This window comes from Homo sapiens, chromosome 15 (genome assembly GCF_000001405.40).
Source record: "Homo sapiens chromosome 15, GRCh38.p14 Primary Assembly".
NCBI lineage: Eukaryota > Metazoa > Chordata > Mammalia > Primates > Hominidae > Homo > Homo sapiens.
Window position 1 is genome coordinate 56,695,817 of NC_000015.10, and position 21,906 is coordinate 56,717,722.

The window sequence follows — 21,906 nt, forward strand, 5'->3', positions numbered from 1 at the left end:
TGCACCCGGCCAAATTAACATTTTTTTAGGAAATGTTCCAAGTAGAATGTTCAGTGAAAAAAGAGAAATATGTATTTGCAAATACTATAGGGTCCTGATACACTCTTCTCACTTTTCTAAACTCTGTCCCCAAATACATATTACTTCATAAGAGAAACATAAAAGTTTTATTATTATAAATTAAGGAATATTCAAGTTTTAAGAATTTTGCTTTATTACTAACTTTTCTATTGACATGGGTTTGTTAAGAAGTTACGGAAACAAGCTATTGATGTAACTCAAACTAATCCTAGAATTTGAGGCCTAGTAGGCAGATGTAGGTATTTGGGCCTCAACATGTAGTATTTTCTTTTTATCATGCCCTATGATTTAACAGTAATAAAACATAATCTTACTTCAAAGTAAACATTTTCTCCAAATATTTGTGAAAAAATGGAAAAGTTACTTCTGAGTTTCAAGTTACTCACCTTTCAAACTGAAATAATAATCACAATTGTTTGTTTTAAACGTACTTGCTCTTCATGGTACACGTATCATATCATGCAGCTATCACAACAATACTAATAAGGACCTAATATTATTCCTCATTTTATAAATAGGTAAACTAAGGTTAGGTGGGGTCGAGTAAGGCTCCCAGTACAGCCCCACTTGTTGCTGATGGAGCTGGAAATAGAATCCAGGTCTGACTGATTACAAAGCCCATGCACTTAAGCTATATCACATTGACTTTCTGGGTCATAATAATATATCCCATCCCTGCCAACCTGAAAGCGATGTTGAGATACCACATTCCATGAAAAAGTAAAAACACACACACAAAATATGACATAAAATAAAAAACTACTATAGTTTATTAAAATGACTTCCAAAATTCAGAGAAAAGTCACTTAAACAGGATTCTCAATTCATTCCAGAATACTCCTCTGTCATTCTTAACTTTGACTGCACAGTAGAATCACACTTGAAGAGTTTTTAAGCAGCTATCATTTCTGGGTTCCACCCAGACCAACTGGCAAAACCTCTCATTTTTTAAAAGAACCCAAGTACTGGGAACCATCAGCTGAGGTGCTTTGATTTAAAAACTATGCCCAAAACATTCTGAGTCAGAAAGGAATCTAATTCCTAACTCTTATAACACCAAACGTACAAACTCTTGCTTTTATTTTTTTTCCCCATCCTCGGTCAAACGTTGGAAAGATTTTTACCTAACGAACTATTAAATAATGTTTTGTTTTTCTATTTTTTTCCCTCAAATGCCAAACAGCTTATAATAAGCATAAAAGAAACCACTAAGTTAATTTGATTCCAACTAATAGCAAAGAATTTTTACATTCTGGGTACCTTTCCCGCTATACCTTCAGGAACACCTATTACTTTTTTTTTTTTGAGATGGAGTCTCACTCTGTCACCCAGGCTGGAGTGCAGTGGCAGGATCTTAGCTCACTGCAACCTCCGCCTCCCAGGTTCAAGTGATTCTCCTGCCTCAGCCTCCCAAGTAGCTGGGATTACAGGCGCCCACCACCATGCCCAGCTAACTTTTTTATTTTTAGTAGAGACAGGGTTTTGCCCTGTTGGCCAGGCTGGTCTCAAACTCCTGACCTCAGGTGATCCACTCGCCTCGGCCTCCCAAAGTGCTGGGACTACAGGCGTGAGCCACCACGCCCAGCCACCTGTTACATTTTTTAAAACATTAGAAATAGCCTGTAGAACCTTAGATGATTGAAGATAGAGACTCAGCAGTCTCCCTTATTGTTCTTATTATTTAAACAATATACATTTTTAGGAAAATGTACTACTATTTTTCTGAGACAGTGGTGCCCTAACTCTTTGGCTTCAGAATCATCTTATGCACTTAAAAATTGTTGAACCCAAAAAGACTTTTTGTTCACATTGGTTATATCTATCAATATTTTCCATATTAGAAATTAAAACAGAGAATATTTTATAATATTTATTTATTCATTTTAAAATAACAAACTCATTACAAATTAACATAAATAACATTTTAATGAAAAATGACTTGCAAACGCAAAAAAAACTAGTGAAAAGTGGCATTGTTTCACATCTTTGCAAAGCTCTTAAATATCTAGCTTAATCAAAAATTGTTTTAGTCTCTTATCTGCTTCTGCCTTCAGTCTACTATGACATGTTGTTTTGGTTGAGGAGTATTATTAAATTCTGCCTCACAGGAATATATAACTGGAAAAGGGAGTGTTTTAATAGGGTTTTAATTAACTGTGGATATACTACTTTGATACTATACCAAAACTGAACAGTTGGTACTTTCTTAAAGGTTTGTTGCAGTGTGAAATCTGAAACCGTATCCCAGAACACCCGTTCCATTAAAATCATTGGTCTATCTTAGCTTTTAAATGTATGTTTTACCCATGCATACTTTTGTAGTATATATACTAGTTATGTGGAAAATACTAGTTTCACTGAATTACACAGGTCTTCCAAATGGTGACATAGTTCATTACACAATATTTTAAAAATCATTATTTATGAACACCACCACCCATCAGAAAACTCTTATTCAAAAGCTGCCAAGATCACGGTGGCAAATGAGTTTTCCAAAATTCTAATTTTTGCTTAAAAGTTCAAATTTTACCATTGGTAAGAAATATTACTATCAATTATTTTTGCTGAAGTGACAGATTTGAGGAAATGTTTGCCAAACAATCAAGATTGACTAAGCGTGTGTGGCAGACAGACTCTAAAGTGGCCTCCATGTAAATGTCATTACCCATAATCCCCAGGTCCTGGTATTCAGGTCCTGTGTAATTCCCTCCCATTGAGTGTGGGCAGGACCTCTGACTTGCTTTTAACCAATAGAACACAACAAAGGTGACAGGATATATATGATTTTTGTGTACGTGATTATGTTACCTAAGACTGTAAGGGCATCTTGCTAAGGACTCACTCTCACCTGCTAGCTTTGAGGAAGCAAGCAGCCTTATTGGGAAGACCTACGTGGCAAGGAGCCAGCCAAAAGCCAACAAGATACAGAGATTCTCAGTCCAACATCCCTTAAGGAACTGAATGCTACCAACAACCATGTGAACTTGGAAGCAAATACTTCCCCAACAGAATTTCAGATGAAACTGCAACTTCAGGCACCACATCTTGAATGCAGCCTTGTGAGATCCTTAAGCAGAAAACCCACCTAAGCCATGACCTGATTCCTGACCCACAGAAATTGTGAGATCATGAGATAAAGAGTGTATGTTGTTTTAAGCTGTGTAAGTTTGTGGTAATATTGATACACAGAAATAAATATCATTTCAAATGCTGGCAAAATCTTATTTAAACTATTAATTTATAAAATAAATCTATCCTTCAAATATCGTACAAAAGTAACATTTACTTCAGGCCAACACAAATAAATAAATAACAAATATCTAAATAGTGATATGTAAAATAACAAGGCTGTGGGCTCTCCTATAGTTATTTAATAGAAATGAGATTGGAAACAATGTATGTATATCATACAGGAAAGAAGCAAATATAGCTCACACCTCTCACTCAATCAAAATCACTAAATTCTTTAATAACTAACTTTATTATTCCTAAAATATAAATAAAAAATAATGCACATTTTTCAGCATCACTATACACATGTTCATTTTTTGGTTTTAGATATTAATCTATACCCAGTTCAAACTGTGGAAACTGAACTAACATGACTGAAATAAAATAGTGTTATATTTTGTTCTTTAGACTCTTTTTTCCCTTCCTGAGATTTTGATATGTACTTGGAGAGTTTTGAGTCAATATTTATTTGATTTGTTTTCTTTTCTGGAGTGATATTGTAAATACTTTAAAGATTTGTCACTCATTCTTTCATGTAACAACAAAAAAAAATCAGGTAGTTTACCTCACAATTCAATCACACAAGTGCTTTTCCTCAAGACAACTATCATACTTCAGACACAGAGGTACTTTATGCACACTACCCATGTCATCACACAGAATATTTTAAAAAACACACATTCAAGTGTAGAGAGTTAATAAAACTAATAACATTTTAATACTTCATCAGGGATTGGGTATAACTGGGTAATACTCAGTTGAGTAATGTAGTTTACTGTGAGTGCACGGCAGGTGACTAATACAGAAACTACAAGTACACTTTGGTGGCACTACCTTGATTCACACTAAGGCACCAGCAGCTTATCCACCATTACTTTAGCATCACCAGTGCAAATGCCAACACAGTGGAAAAGGAAAACAGTCTTTGATTATAATGACAACACTGTTGACCCTCAAACCTCTGAAAGGGTCTTGGGGAACCCCAGGGGATTGCAAACTACAATCTGAGAACTGTTCAACTAAGGCAATTCTTTCATGTCTAAAAAAGTGTACATTTATACACAACATATATGTATGTATGTGTGCATATACATATAAACTATGGGTTAGGCTGGATTGAAATCCCAGATCCATCAACTGCCAGCTTTGGGATCTTGAATAAATCTTTCAACCTCTATGAGCCTCAGTTTCCTCAACTAAAAAATGAGGATAATAATAGTGTTTACTTCATGGGGATGTTTAAGAACTAAATGAAATGAATTTACCTATAGCATTTAGCACAAACACTTATACATATTAACAGCTCAATGAATGTTAACTATTACCATTTTCTATTACTTTTTGTAACAAAAAAAGTGGGAGTTTTTTGTAATAGGAAAAAATGTTTGTTTTTTTTTAACTAACTGAACTATGAAGGAATGTTTTCAGAATAAAAAGCTATGATGGTCACTTGACTGTTTTCCCAATTAAGAATACCTGGTCCCGTCTGCAATCTTAAATATTTGTCATTATGCAATATTTATGGCTGACTATAATTTTATTCACATTTTGATAGTATAGTTTTCATTACTGTACCTATTTAGGCATACTGCCTGTTATTAACAGGTTGGGTAGTTAGCTCCTTCAGTTATTACTTGGGGTACTGCTTGAGCTAGCGAAAATATGGTGACATTTTCTGATGCTAACTATGCTTCTACTGGATGACTACTTATGACAGTCCAGAATTGTAACTGGGTACTGTTGATATTGATAAACAACATCCAATGGATCCCTGAGCTGGCCGTATAGTTTTAGAAACACTTACAGGTTTAGAAAAAGGCTGAACAATAACAGAACTATCTGAAGATCTAGACTCAGGATGAAAATTTATTGGTGAGGCAGGCACTGGATTTGATGTTGGATTCGTGTAGTGTTGACTTGTAGGCTTGAATGCAGCAGTAATACCTGTATTTTAAAGTAACACAATATATGGAAATTATTTGTACATAATCAATTTTGTCAAAATACTTCACTTTAAAATTAAAATAGTATAATAATACTGTACCTCGACTGAGTGCACCATTCTTTAGTCCCCTTGAATATGAGCTGGGGTTAACTCTGTTCAAAATATCTATAAAAGATTATATTTATTTTAAAATACATTGTTTGAATGAAATACATATTAAGATAATAGAAATCATGAATTGAAAACATTTAAACAGATTTATGGAAGGAGTATATAACTAATCACTGATTTAAGAATATAGTTCATTTTAAACACATACATCTTTACCTACTAAAGAAACAAAAGAAACAAGATAACTAGGTTTTGTTTTACAGACTAAGAACAATCTTTCTCATTGTAACTCAAAATCCAAAATTCAGAAGGAAATGACAAATCTGACTACAGGTGAGTCAAAACATTGTGCTTGCAAAGAAACATCACATACTTGATAAAAATTTTCCAAAAACATATTTATATATAACCTATAATTTAAATGTATATCTTTCTTTGCATGATGACAGGGCTGTTACATACAGTCAGGTTCCTATGATTCAAAATCAAATCCTTGCCCAACCTCTACACTGCATTCACTCGTCTAAAAGCCTTGAAGTTGCATTACAGAAAATCTCATCGGATTATCTACTATTAGTTTTGAGTTAAAAAAGAAAAACTATCAGAGATTGCAGACTAAAGTGAACCAATAGTTCATCATAGCATTTTATTAGTTAAGAGGTTTCAAATTTACCACTACACCAGAAGTCAATCTGAGCCTGCCATGACTTTGAGGATCAATTTAAAGTTCCTCATTCTTGCATGCATGTAAACTCTGTAACTTCTAGCTTATCAAATTATAGTTTGGAAGCATGAGGATTTGCCTAAAATTGCTGGTTAGAAAAAGGTAAAAAGCACCCAAAAAAAAAAAAAAAAACCACCCACCAAATCTCATAAAAATTTCTTTTATCTTCCTCACAGTAGAAAGAAACCAGATCCCATTAAGTAATTCTATAAAATAATGGTTCACACAGAAATATGGTTGTTTTCTGATAAGGTCAATGCAGTGCTCTGTAATTAAACACTACAGAAGTCTTATTAGAGAAAGATCTACTCAAAGAACTTGAAACTGTTTTCATTCAGAAATTCAGGATTAAATATTTACTCAAACCATGAAAGAGCTATTGCTGTAGTACTATTTAGTGGGTGTAGTCTATGGATCACAAGTTTTTGCCCTCCTTTCTTGCAGTTTTATATAAACATTTAACTCATGTTCCATATGTTAACATATTTTATGGCTTACAAATAAAACAACAATAAAACCATTTAAATTATTCACCTTAACACTGTAGAAAAGAAATTCTGTTGGGGTTAATCCCCTTCTTGATGGAATTATTTTAAAACTAATGTACAGTGTTCTACCCGAATACCATGAAGAGTCATCTACAATCAGTATAAATTCACCTTGAATCTTAACTGTCATGTTTTCAATAAGAGTTTGAATTTTGCAATATAATATTTCAGTATAAAACAATAACCAATAGAATATTATGTCCCACTATCACCGACGATGCCATCATGCCTAATTCATTTTATAATCCAAGTGGCACTCCACTTAGCATTCCATGAGAGATGACCAATGTGCCCCAGGAAACAGTATTGAAAATTCGATTGGTGAAATTACTCTCTCTCTGATAAAACTGAATAAAGGTGCCAATCCAAGTTTAGAGGTAAGTGAAGCAAGAACTAGGCTTTCAAAAAATTTTGGTCTCTTAATCACACTTTTAAGCACTACCATGGTAAGTAAACACACACACACACACACACACACACACACACACACACACACACACACACGCTGGTAAACTGGGTACATAAAATTCTTTGGTAAATTCTCCTGGCTTCAAACAAACAAGTAAATGAAATGGAAAAGGATCTATTTTCTCTTTCTCCCTGAAATTTGTACATTGTTTCTCTGCACTGTCATACATTTTTGAGTGGACATTTTAACAAATGTCATCAGTATCTGCACGTTAATATTATAACAATGTCAAGCCCAATTCTCTAATTCAAAGCTAATAAGCCACAAAGGTACCAAGTTGTTCTGCCCAAAAGCCTTAAGGATTTAAATGTACTAAATGCTACATCATCCAAGTACAGTGGCTGTAGACAGCGCCATTCTCTTTCATGAATATAAAAAGGAGTTGCTGGAAGACGGATATGGTCAGAAGCTGCAGCTTCTATTGGTACACAGGCCAGAGTCTGTGCAATCATTCACCACCTATACATTTTGTAGCCACGTATAGATGACATTGCAGTGAGGACTGGATGTGAGAAGTCCCGTTTGAGACTAACAAAAACTCACTTAGTATATTCTGAAATTTTAAGCAAAGCATTCCAAATGTTTTATTTTCTCTTCTGGGTTGGAGAAAAATGAAAAAGAATAAACAGATAAATATGTTACTTAAGGCTAGGTGCAGTGACTCACACCTGTAATTTTAGCACTTGGGGAGTCCAAGGCAGGTGGATCATTTGAGCTCAGGAGTTCGAGAGCAGCCTGGGCAGCATGGTGAGACCCTGTCTCTACAAAAAATACAAAAATTAGCCAGGCATGGTAACACATGCCTGTAGTGCCAGCTACTTGGGAAGCTGAGGTGGGAGGATCGCTTGAGCCAAGGAGGTTGAGGCTACAGTGAGCTGTGACTGCATCACTGCACTCCAGACTAGCGACAGAGTGAGACCCTGTCTCAAAATAAATAAATAAATAAATAATTACTTAACTCCATTAAAAATTATGATTTCTAATCTCAGAAGACCTCCAGGGTCACCAGCTAATCTCAGTCCATTTCTCTTTTCTGACATCTGATATTTAATCTCTTACCTCCTTCCTCAAGTCCCCAATCATGTTCCTCTTTACAGTGGAACATGAACATCAACTACCTATTAAACAGTTCACAAGTTTTTCTACTAGAAATAATACCTTATAAAGCTTGGTTTCACTAAAAGTAAATGCTTACTTGAAATTGCTGGTTTTGAACTTGATATCTCGCCAACAAAGATTGGCTCATCATCATCGTCATCCTCAACTTCTTTTACTTTCTTCTGCCATGGTTCCAGCTCCTCTTCTTCACATTCCATAAACAGTTCTGCCATTTTTGAATTACCTAATTTTCAAAAGGAGAGAAGTAAACCTCATTTTTGAAAATAAAAATAAAAACATTTTTGTAATACATAGCATTAATTTTAAGGTGTACTTTAATAATCTTAATAGCAATTTCTGAATTGATATTTGTAGTCAGTATGTGGTAACAACAGTGAGAAATACAGAGCTTACTATCTAAAATATTAAATAGTAAAATTTAGATAAACAGATAATCAATGACAGTAGTTATTTACCGTAGACAGAAAATTTGGAAGTCAAATTCAGTGAAAGTGAGTTTTAGTCGTATACATAGAATATGATTATCTCTACAAAAAGGATTATACCCACTGTCTTTTTAAAAATGTATTCACAAAAGGCAGATAAACTAAGAATAATAGGCAACAGGTGGGAGATAAACTGGATAAACTAAACCAGATTCAAGAATGCCAGGCAGGATGGGAGCAGTGGCTCACACTTGTAATCCCAGCACTTTGGGAAGCCGAGACAGACAGATTGCTTGAGGTCAGGAGTTTGAGACCAGCCTGGCCAACATGGTGAAACCCCATCTCTATTAAAAATAGAAAAAAATTAGCCGGGCATGGTGGCCCACATCTGTAATCCCAGCTCCTTGGGAGGCTGAGTCAGGAGAATCGCTTGAATCTAGGAGGTGGAGGTTGCAGTGAGCTGAGATCATGCCACTGCATTCCAGCCAGGGGTGACAGATTGAGAGTATGTCTTTAAAAAAAAAAATGCCAGGCACAGAACACAGCAGGGAAGAGATGCTAGAATAGAATATGGAAAACTAATTAGGCTTATTCAATTAAAGGCAAAGTAGATATTTCTCACAGGAAGAATGTCACAAATCATTTCCCACTCTAATGTTATAGTATAGTCCATCTACCAAAAAAAAGGCCTTCCCATTTTCCTAAATGCCATCAATATCATGAAACTTTTTTCTCTAAACTGTACTATTTTACTAATTATACAGAGTTCTTCAAATCTAATAATTAAAAATACTAATTTTCATTGACAAGTCATAACTTAGCATTTGTGTTTTTTAAATACTTGAAATACCAGCCTTATTGTGTGTCTCAGAGCGATTATTTATACCACGTCTTCTACCTAGAATATCTTTCCTTCTCAGTTTTACAATCTATGTCACTCCAGTCTGGAGCAAAGAGAGCAGAGAGCTGACATCAAGTTGAATAATTCAAATCTTTCCTCCACTGTTTCTAATCATATGACTCTAGAGAAGTTACTTGAACCTATTTTCCTCATCTATAACACAAGTATGATATCTACCTAATACAAGTATTACATAGATTCAAGAAAATGCCACATAAAGCACCTAAAATCAAGTGGATACTCAACAAAATATTAATTCCCTGGCCCTCCTAACTCTTGGTTCAATTATAATTCCTCTTGTAAACCATTAGATTTTACTTTCCTTCAAAATCTGAACTACACTGATAATCAATATCATGCAATTCAAGATTTAACATATACGATCTCAAACTGCTATTTTTTCATGTGTCTTAATTTTATATGTCTAACGTCATATAGGAATACATTTCCCCCTATACATTAGAGGGGCAGTAGGCACATGGCATATAATAATCTATGGACTAGGCGAAGTCAGAAAATGCATAATTTTAAACAATCAGGGAGACTCGTTGTATAGTAATAACAAAAGTATTATTTATATCCAGTTGGTATAGGTATAGGCTGAACTGTGTTTTCTCAAAATTCATATGTTTAAGACCTAACCCTCACCACCATAGAATGTGACTATATTTAGAGATTGGGTCCTCAGAAGTAACTAAATTAAAATAAGGTTAGTAGGGTGGGCCCTAATCTAGTATGACTGGTGTCCTTAATAGAAGAGGAGATTAGGACACAGACACAAGCAGAAAAGGAGATCACAGGAAGATGTAAGGAGAAGATGGAGGACAGGCACAGTGGCTCACACCTATAATCACAACACTTTGGGAGGCTGAGGCAGGCGGATCACCTGAGGTCAGTAGTTCGATACCAGCCTGGCCAACATGGTGAAACCCAGTCTCTACTAAAAATAGAAAAAAAATTAGCCAGGCGTGGTGGCGAGTAACTGTAGTCCCAGCTACTCAGGAGGCTGAGGCGGGAGAATCACTTGAGCCCAGGAAGAGGAGGTTGCAATGAGCCGAGGTCATGCCACTGCACTCCAGCCTGGGTGACAGAGTGAGAATCTGTCTCAAAACAAACTAACAAACAAACAAAAAACGAGAAGATGGCCATCTACAAGTCAAGAAGAGAGGCCTCAAACCCTTCCCATATGGCCCCCAGAAGAAATCAATCCTAACGACACCTTCATCTTGGACTTCTAGCCTCAAGAATTATGAGAAAAATGTCCATTGTGTAAGCCACCCAATCTGTGGTACTTTGTTATGGCAGCCCTAGCAAACTCATATAGTATACAAAGGTCTTCCTTGTTCTTTTTAACAGGGCACTGTCATTGTTAATATACCCAGGACATATTTTTGAGAAAAAAAAAATTTAAGACATAATAGCTTTATAATTTTTTTAGAAATAATTTAATTTTTGTCTATGTACAGAAGAAACATGTATGATTATATGTACCAAATTGGTAAAAGTAGTTTCTTCTGATAATGGGGGAAAACACTTCTATTTTACTCACTTTTTTATTTATATTACTTGTTTTTATGTGAACATTTGTTACTTTAACAATTTTAAGCATTTTTGTTTTTTAAAAAATGTCTCCCAACTTTCATCCTTTCTCCTGAGGTAAAGTGATACAAAAGCCACATATATTAGTATTAGTTGTGGCAGCAACACTTACTTTTTGGTTGAAAAGGGTTGTCGCCCATCAAGCTGCAGAGATGACTTTCTGTAAATTGTCACCTAAGTACTGACACATGATATCAGTCAATTTAATGAGTCACTTTAAGTAACACCAAATATTGAAACATGAAACTTGGGATTCACAAATTATTGGATGTAAGGTTAACCTCTAAACTCACCATGTGACTCCAGACAAGCCAGCAAGTTATTTCTGTTTTCCTTCCTATAAAATAAAGATACCAACTATTAGGGTGGACTTCATTAAATTAGATGTATACATATTTAATCTTTTCTCCTATACAGAGGTCAATTATGTTTGATATATCTGATATACACATATAGTTCATTTTACATAATTGGTTCATTCCTGAATAAACCCAAATTTAATAAATAAATGGTGATTATACTTGGCACTTAATACTCGAAGAAATGTGATGATTTGTAAATTACAAATAATTTTTTAAAGTATTTAGTAAAAACGAGTAAACACCTTACAATGTACTGGTTTTGGAAATCTAACTTTTCAAACGCTGAGTGACATTAATCTTTAACGTTATCTTTTCTTTGTATTTCAGAAATACATGTAATTATTTCTGCAAGAAAACACAATTTTAAACAAATTTTAGTTTATATCTTTCTGGCTTTTTATCAACCGAAAGGGAACAGAAAATTCATTGGAAATATTTCATCATAGATTAATTCATTCAAAAAATAACTACTCATGGCCTTCTGTATGGAAGGTAATGTGCTAAGCTCAGGGGAAAACAAAAATGAGTAAGTCACATTCTTAAGACTTCAGAAGTTTACAATCTAGTATGTCAATAATTTATTTGGCTTTAAAAATGCTGTTAGAATAAACATTTTTTTAAAAACTATTTGAATTGCTTTATTCAAACTGGGAATCTGTTTTTTGAATTTCCATGCACACGCAATAGCATGAATTTTACAAAATAAACAAGCTTTTATAAAACTGAGTTATAAAGCAAAAAACGTCAACAATTAAACAATGGAAATCTAAAACACTGGAATATATAACTAATTCAACCTTCACTTTCCTCTTTATCCTTAGGCTGACAAAAGCAAGCTTTCCTACTTTTCAATTTCTAAAGTATGTAAACTGAATTACTACAAAGGAAAAATTATTACTTTAATTTCAGAAGTTATTGTTATTAATTCAGTTATTCAGAGTTACTATCACATGAGACTCTAGCGAATCTTGTGCTTAACTAAATATCCCCTAGTTCTAAAGTTGTACTATTAAAAATCTTTTAACTCAATTTTTGAATAGCTGTAGCTTGTCCCACTAGCAACAGTATAATGCTTATTTCAGATAAATACGTGATAATCCTTGCTTCACATTAAGGACTTATCAATACCAGGAACACGGAATATTTTTAAGATTCACAATTACATATCCTATGGACTCATACATAATGTTTTTAAGTTATCAGGTAAGTATCTACTGGCTTCAGAATTTTCTTGGTAAAGCACAGAATTCTATGAAAGATACCTGACTTCAAACTATACTACAAGGCTACAGTAACCAAAACAGCATGGTACTGGTACCAAAACAGAGATATAGGCCAATGGAACAGAACAGAGCCCTCAGAAATAATACCACATATCTATAACCATCTGATCTTTGACAAACCTGACAAAAACAAGAAATGGGGAAAGCAGTCCCTATTTAATAAATGGTGCTGGGAAAACTGGCTAGCCATATGTAGAAAGCTGAAACTGGATCCCTTCCTTACACCTTATACAAAAATTAATTCAAGATGGATTAAAGACTTAAATGTTAGACCTAAAACCATAAAAACCCTAGAAGAAAACCTAGGCAATACCATTCAGGACCTAGGCATGGGCAAGGACTTCATGTCTAAAACACCAAAAGCAACGGCAACAAAAGCCAAAATTGACAAATGGGATCTAATTAAACTAAAGAGCTTCTGCACAGCAAAAGAAACTACCATCAGAGTGAACAGGCAACCTACAGATTGGGAGAAAATTTTTGCAATCTACTCATCTGACAAAGGGCTAATATCCAGAATCTACAAAGAACTCAAACAAATTTACAAGAAAAAAACAAAGAACCTCATCAAAAAGTGGGCAAAGGATATGAACAGACACTTCTCAAAAGAAGACATTTATGCAGCCAACAGACACATGAAAAAATGCTCATCATCACTGGCTATCAGAGAAATGCAAGCGAAAACCACAATGAGATACCATCTCACACCAGTTAGAATGGCAATCATTAAAAAGTCAGGAAACAACAGATGCTAGAGAGGATGTGGAGAAATAGGAACACTTTTACACTGTTGGTGGGACTGTAAACTAGTTCAACCATTGTGGAAGACAGTGTGGCGATTCCTCAAGGATCTAGTACTAGAAATACCATTTGACCCAGCCCTTCCACTACTGGGTATATACTCAAAGGATTATAAATCATGTTGCTATAAAGACACATGCACACGTATGTTTATTGCGGCACTATTCACAATAGCAAAGACTTGGAACCAACCCAAATGTCCATCAACGATAGATTGGATTAAGAAAATGTGGCACATATACACCATGGAATACTATGCAGCCATAAAAAAGGATGAGTTCATGTCTTTGTAGGCACATGGATGAAGCTGGAATCCATCATTCTCAGCAAACTATCACAAGGACAAAAAAACAAACACTACATGTTCTCACTCATAGATGGGAATTGAACAATGAGAACACTTGGACACAGGAAGGGGAACATCACACACCGGGGCCTGTCGTTGGGTGGGGGTAGAGGGGAGGGATAGCATTAGGAGATATACCTAATGTAAATGATGAGTTAATGGGTGCAGCACACCAACATGGCACATGTATACATATGTAACAAACCTGCATGTTGTGCACATGTACCCTAGAACTTAAAGTATAATAAAATAAATAAATAAATACTAAATCTGCTGCCAGAGAATACATCCAACAAAGATGTTCAATGGAGACATCAAAGGCCTCAGCTCAGAGTTGGCTCTTTAAGACAGCCCGAAAAGGACGGGCGCGGCGGCTCACGCCTGTAATCCCAACACTTTGGGAGGCCGAGGCGGGTGGATCACCTGAGGTCAGGAGTTCGAGACCAGCCTGGCCAACACAGAGTCAAACTGTCTCTACTAAAAAGTACAAAAATTAGCTGGGCGTGGTGGCACACGCCTGTAGTCCCAGCTACTTGGGAAGCTGAGGCAGGAGAATCGCTTGAACCCAAGAGGCAGAGGGAGGTTGCAGTGAGCTGAGACTGCACCACTGTACTCCAGCCTGGGCAAGAGAGCAAGACTCTGTCTCTCGAAAAAATAAAATAAAATAGCCAGGAAAAAAAAAAAAGAGGACTCTCAACTTCAACTACTAACTCAGGTACAGATTACATGCCCATATTTAATATACTGTTTGCATGGGGGAAAAATGAATTCCAAGTAACTGACTTAAAATAAATTCCATTCATTTATGGATACTGCCCACATAAATAATTATAATTCCTATTTTATAAATTTTTGGTTTCAGTTTTTATCTAAAATTAAACTGTATCTTATTTTTTCTATAAAAAAAATTAGAAATCAATGGAAATGTGGGTCTAAGTGTTTTAACTATCTGAAATTTTCACTTTCATCCATTGATAGATATCACCCGATGTACTGCTGCCGTGTTAAATAATATTAATACTGCATGTGATCAAGTACAGAGCACATACTATGGACACAGGTGTGCTATATACTAGATATAGTCCTCTTTACTTTCTGATAAGAAAAAAATTAAGCAATTTCACAAACTACAACTGTAGTATCTGCACATTTAAAAAAAGAATATCGCACTAGAAACCAGGAGAACCAAGTCATAGTACCAGCATGGCCACAACCTTCTGCCAAGTCATCTTCAATTCTAGCTCTCAGGCTTATAGTTCAACTGAAAGATTCTGGCTTAATTCAGCTCAAAATCTATTGTATACTTTAAACATTTAGTAACCATGAAGAGTAAAACATGGTGAAGAATGAATGCCAAATTCAAATTCTGACTCAATCACTTATTACCAATATGATGTTGGACAAGTTAGTTAACCTAGTGCCTTGCTTTACTGCTTTTTATACATACATTTACCATTTACATATACATAAAAAATAAAAATAGACTTATGTCATTGGATTATAGTGAAGATTAAATGAGATAATATATGTAAAACACATCTCAGTGCCTGGCACATGGAAACCACTCAACGATGTTTAACTATTTTTAACTCTGAGATAAATCCCATTTTAAAGAACTCGAGGCCAGGCATGGTGGCTCACACCTATAATTCCAGCACTTTGGGAGGCCGAGGCAGGTGGATCACTTGAGGTCAGGAGTTCAAGAACAGCCTGGCCAACATGGTGAAACCGGGACTCTACTAAAAATAAAAAAATTAGCCGGGCATGGTGGAGCATGCCTGTAATCCAAGCTACTCGGGAGGCTGAAGAAGAATGGCTTTAACCAGGAGGCAGAGGTTGCAGTAGTGAGCTGAGATCGTGCCACTGCACTCCAGTCTGGGTGACACAGCAAGACTCAGTCTCAAAAAAACAAAAAAAAGAACTGATCCCAATTCTGTTATACTGGAATTTACGTGCTATCAGCTAAGCATTTAGAAATCATTTTGTTTTATGGTCATGCATCACTTAACAACAGGGATAAGTTCTGACAAATGTATCATTAGATGATTTTGTAGTTGTGAGAACATCGTAGAGTCTACAGTACTTACACAAACCTAGATGGTATTGCCTACTACACATCCAAGCTATATGGTATAGCCTATTGCTCCTAGGCTATAAACCTGTATAGCATGTTACTGTACTGAATACCGCAGGCAATTATAACACAAATCACTAGGTAATAGGAATTTTTCAGTCCATTATAATCTTACAGGACCACCGTATTATATAATGCAGTCTGTCCTTGACCTAAACATCATTATGTGGTACATGACCTTCATTACAGTGAAATTTCTCATGATGAAATTTTAGCTTTATATCTTCCAGACTGTGGCTGTCAAATCTATCCTACCACATTTTCATCTTTTTAAAAAAGCATTTCTAAACTAATTAAAATATACACCAAAAAAAATTTTAACCCTCATATAAACATAACACACTGTTAAATTACATACTACTAATCTAATAGAATAAGTATCCAATTCAAAAGTACCAACATATAAAAATTAACATTTAGATAAGGTATCTTTACACCATTTCTATTAAGAAAAAAACGTTCAGGCTGGGCATAGTGGCTCATGCCTCTAATTCCAGCACTTTGGGAGGCCAAGGTTGGAGGATGACTTGAGCTCAGCCTGGGCAATATGGCAAAACCCCATCTCCACAAAAAATACAAGAAAATTACTGGGAGTGGTGGCACATGCCCCTGGTCCCAGCTATAAGAGGTTGAGGCTGCAGTGAGCCGAGACTGGGCCACTGCACTCCAGCCTGGGTGACAGTGTGAGACCCTCATACCAAAAAAAAAAAAAAAAAAAAAGGAAAGAAAGAAAAGAAAAAACACTCATTCTACATGTATCTTAGTATTTTATTTTCTAAAAAATAAATAAATAAATAGCTGGTAATTAAAACACAAAAGTGATTATGAGGAACATGGTGAATGGCTTTTTTTTTTTTTTTTCTGAGGTGGAGTCTTGCTCTGTTGCTCAGGCTGGAGAGCAGTGGCACCATCTCAGCTCACTGCAACCTCCACCTTCCAGGTTCAAGTGATTCTCCTGCCTCAGCCTCCCGAGTAGCTGGGATTATAGGTGCGCACCATCATGCCCAACTAATTTTGTATTTTTGGTAGAGATGGGGTTTCACCATGTTGGCCAGGCTGGTCTTGAACTCCTGAACTCAAGTGATCTGCCCGCCTTGGCCTCCCAAAGTGCTGGCATTACAGGTGTGAGCCACCATGCCCGGTCAAATGGTTAACTTCTACATCTCCCCCAATCCCATAAATTCAAGATATAAAATCAATGAAATAATCCAAAAAATCACATTATAAAGTTAATCTTTCTTTTTGTCTCCCCACCATACAAATGTTTTAATTGGGGATTGCATTACTAACCAAGAAGTTGGCAACACCAAAACAAGATATGATCAACTTAATAGATACAAAAAACTATTTCAAATAGTGAAAATTTATACTCAAAATAAGTATTGCACATAAAAATGAAGTTCAACTAACTCATAAAGTTAGCTCAAGATAATGTTCTATCTATAAAAAAACTAACAATTTACTTATATACTTAAAACGAGTTTTTCAGTGGAATCATTTAGATGACACTGGCTTATTGGTTCAGTAAAGTTTGATCTTTCATTTTTTTACTCTCAGAAATTTTCCAAGAAATCAGGCATTTAAGTCATTCTACTTAAATCAGCTTTGTTTATATTCTATTTCATTTTATAAGCAATTCTTTAGTCTTTATGTCACTAATGGCATACTGAAATGGAGGACTATCATTTTAGAATTCCAATCTCAGATGAATAGAGCTTAAAGGATACAAAGTGAATTCTCAACTATGAATAACAATCTAATATTTCAAACCCTGATTTTGTGATCCCTCAAGCACTTCCAACTATCTCAATAAAGTATTCAAAAATTAATTTTATTTAATGTTCACCACCTTACAATCCTAAGAAATATTTTGAGTAAAAAGAGCAATTTTTAAAACTCCTGTTGTACATCCCCTTACTATCCATTGCCTGTTGATTCCATTATGGAAAATTGGAAATTACTGTAACAGGATTAGAAAAGCAGTGAATGATGATACCTACTTTGGCACTATAAGACAAATCTGTGTGATAGAAAATGTAAATCATAAGCGATAAACAATAATATAATTAAAGGAGAGACCTATGATTAAAATGATTTAATAAAATTTAGGTATTTAGCTATGAAATTTTATAAGGAAATTAGCTTACTATATTTTTTATTTACAACCTTTAAGCAGATGAAATTTCAAATCAATACTTCCTTTTGTGCCTCAAGTATTTCTTACAAATGTTTTAGTGTTAGAAAACTAAGTATCTTTTTCAGAATCAGTCCAGTTGTTACTGTTAAAAACCAGTCTTACTCTTGAAAAGGGCACATTCCCACCACACAAACTTTATTACTAAAAACACCTGATCAGCAGCTAAAACACTGTAGACAAAATACGGGATGATTATAGAATCTTAAGAGACTGTAGAAGATAAATCTCACCCAATTTCTGAAAGATTCTAATTTTTATGAAGAATATTGTCTCCCGATAATAAGCACTCTAAGGAAGAAAAGATCTTTAAAAAGGGAATATATGGATACACCATAGTTTTTATTTTTAAAATAAACCAAAAATATCTAATGTCATTTTTAAAAGACTATATATTTGAGAATCTTAACAGTGAACAGGCAAAGAGAAGGGAAAAGGTTGGAATTCAGTCTTGAAAGAAGTGGCCTTCAAAGGCGATCAGGACTAGAATAGGGAAAATCCAGGTCCTGGAAGAGGCTGCTCTTTCCAAGAATAAAAAGATAGAGCAATGAGGCCAGCTTTCCCTGCCCATCTCCTAACTTATACAAAAAACTTCATTCTCTGAAGGTAACTTATCAAAGAATTAGCACGTTAATTCTCTGAAATTAAGATAAATCCAGATGGATTCCTTGAAGCCAAAACAATTCTCCAAGTTAGTGAGCTCAGTCAAGACTTTGAAAGGACAATAAAATACTTGATAATATTAATGATTAAGAATTTGAAAAATAATATACTTATTTTCTTTCTAATGCAAGATGCAAATCTCAACACTTTTTTCATAGGATATGAAAAGGATCCTATCTCAAAAAGTTACCTATTAGGGGGATTATGATGAATACATAAATATCTTATAAAAGAGGATATGGTTGCTATAATTATAAAAACTAAAAGTGGTACAGCAGAGGTTCTTGATAACGTGTTGGGGGCACCATAGAAATAAAAAAGTTAGCAAAATTTTGTGAATACTCAATTTCTGGAAAGATAAGACAGTGCATCAAATTCTCATAACAGCCTATGAACCAAAAAGTTAAGAGTTTCTAGGTTAGGAGTTTGAATAAAAGCAATCACATTAGCCAGGGGTTAGGAAATACCCTATCATGGAAGAAACATATGCATTAATCCTTAAAGTAAAAATGTTTTCATTAGCACTTTTTTTAAAAAATAAAACATGTTTACTGAAAATGGTTCAAACATACAGTGTATATAAAGTACAAAGTAAGAATCCTATTCCCTCTCCTGCCCTATTCCCAATCCCACTCACTAGAGTTTGGTGTGTGTGATGCAACAGATGATAGTGATTGAAGATAGAGTTGTGGTTAAGGGATAAGAAGGGTATTCCAGTGCCTTGAATGACTTAACTAAGGGCAATATTTATAGCAATGATTTGAATAAAAGCTATACTGTGTGCAGATTCAATTTATGCATGAGTAGAGAGTATAATACATGTAAACTAGCAGAATGAGGCTTTACCCAGTCTGTCCCTGGATCTAAAAACAAATGAAGGAATATGTTAATTAAATAAATAAATGGAATGAAGCTTTAAAAGATCTCAATAAGAGAATGAATGGTAGTAACAGTTTTGTATTTGCCCAAAAAAAAAATTAACAAAAATATAAATTGAAGATGTACTGCTGAAGATGTACCAGAAGATCTACATGACAGAAGGTCATTTATTCCAGAAGTGCACATTTGGCCCTCCCTATCCGTGGTTCCACAACCACAGATTCAACCAACCATGGACTGAAATATTCAGAAACAAAACCAATAAACAGTAACAAAAGAATGATAAAAAATGCACCTTTAAAAAATATATAACAACTATTTACATAGCATTTACTTTGTATTAGGTATCATAAGTAATCTAGAGATGATTTAAAGTATATGAGAGCATGTGTATAGGTTATATCCAAGTACTACACCATGTTATATAAGGGACTTGAGCACCCTCAAATTCTGCTATCCACTGGGGTCTTGGAACCAATCCCTCATGAATACTAAGGGACAGCTGTACTGATTGAACATTTACTGTGTGTCGGGTAGGAATACAATAATGAACAAAAATTAATACATACTTACTGCACTCATGAAACTTGTGGTCTAGAGATAGGGACAAACACCCATACAAAGAGATGTAAAATGACAATGGTAAGTGCTATGAAGGTTATGAACCTGGAATTATAGTCAGCATAATCAAAATTGGCTTTGCTAAAAAAAGAAAAGTGATAATTAAGTTGTTATTTGAAGAAAGGGTTGGAGTTAACTAGGCAAACAGGAGAAGGAAGGGAGGATTCCATGAAGAAGGAACTGAATGTGCAAAAGACCTATGGCAGAAGATAAGCCAGCAAATATGAAAAGCTGCAAAGAAACCATTGTGACTGAAAAAAAAAAAAAAAAGCAAGGAGTTACATGGGAAGAGATAAGACATAGAGATAGACAAGAGTTAAACAATGAAGCACCTATGGACTGTGTTAAGAAATTCTGTCCTTATCCTAAGAACAATGAAAAACCACTGAGGGATTTTAAGTGGGGACTGATGTCAGATTTGTGACACAGTGTCAAAATAACAGAATTTGAGTATTAAATCAGAGAGAAGACTATTTTACCCTATTCTATACTAATCAACACCCCCACTTGAAATACTACATATTGGCCATGATTCTTTCAACTATAAGTAACAAAAACCCAACTCAAACTGGCTTATGCAAAAGGATATTTATTGGCTCATTTGTAGAAATAACTACAGGCATAATTCACACAATATCATGTGAATCTGGTTTCTTTCTCCATTCCTGGGCTTCACTTCCTCTGTATTGATTCTATCCTCATAAAGGATCTCCATTGAGGATGACTATAACAGCTCCAGTCTAACCATCTTCAATATTGAAACCCAGGACAATGACAAGAGGCCCAGCTATGATTGGAGTTGGTTGGCTTGGCTAAAATTACATGCCCTTCCCTAACCCAATCACTAAGGGAATGCTAAGGCATTGTGATAGGTTTGGGCTTACATCACATGCTCTCCCTGGTACCAGAGGGAGAGTCTTAATCAAAAAGCACAAGAATAAAGATTGGAGGAAGAATGGTTTTCCAAAGGAAAACCAAGTAAGGGTAAATAGATGCTGGGTGGCAAAAATAACAGATGTCCACTACAAGGAATTCAGAACTAGAGCTTTGTCTAGGTCAAGTTGAAAGGACTAAAGTTATTTAACCTAAAAAACCTGAGACTATAGGGTGGGAGAAGTAAAAGCTATTTATGGAGATTTTAAAGTTTGTCATGAGAAAGAAGGAAAGAAGGTGACTTGAACTTTGTGTGGCTCAAGTAATAATAACAACAACAGTAATATTTACTTGTTTTGAGCAAACTAGAGAATTGCTAGTATTGAGCTTTAACATCACTTCATTCCTTACATTCTACTATGTTATCGCCATTATAAATTATACAATATGATAAATATATAATTATAAAATAATTGTAATTAGTATACATTAACATTAGCTAACATTAAATGCATATATTATTTCACCTAATCCTCAAAAACTCCTATGAGGTAGACACTATCATCATCCCCTGTTTACAGCTGTGGAAATTTAGTT

At 34.9% G+C, this 21,906-nt stretch overlaps 1 protein-coding gene across 5 annotated transcripts in view, besides 1 other annotated feature; it reads right to left on the reverse strand.

Annotated features, from left to right (window-relative positions):
* ZNF280D (zinc finger protein 280D) overlaps positions 1-21,906 on the reverse strand; it is a 103,334-nt gene that overhangs the window by 65,641 nt on the left and 15,787 nt on the right. The window contains exons 2-6 of one of the 5 annotated variants that reach the window (NM_001288588.2): positions 11,447-11,490; positions 11,266-11,327; positions 8,305-8,451; positions 5,357-5,422; positions 5,117-5,256 (exon numbers count right to left, since the gene is read on the reverse strand). In NM_001288588.2, coding sequence (NP_001275517.1) covers positions 5,117-5,256; positions 5,357-5,422; positions 8,305-8,451; positions 11,266-11,293 — 381 coding nt within the window. In that variant the 5' untranslated portion in view covers positions 11,294-11,327; positions 11,447-11,490. Of the gene's footprint in view, positions 1-1,938; positions 5,257-5,356; positions 5,423-8,304; positions 8,452-11,265; positions 11,335-11,446; positions 11,491-21,906 lie in introns of those variants that run through there. The other 4 variants (NM_017661.4, NM_001002844.3, NM_001288589.2 and 1 more) reach the window with 4 other exon arrangements.
* Positions 8,139-8,308: an enhancer, noted in NCBI's record as "experimental_40335 CRE fragment used in MPRA reporter constructs". NCBI's record gives its function as "activates a minimal promoter by MPRAs in K562 erythroleukemia cells, with activity observed for both the introgressed and non-introgressed 15:56996238 variant alleles {active_cell/tissue: K562}" and the evidence as "EXISTENCE:reporter gene assay evidence [ECO:0000049][PMID:34662402]".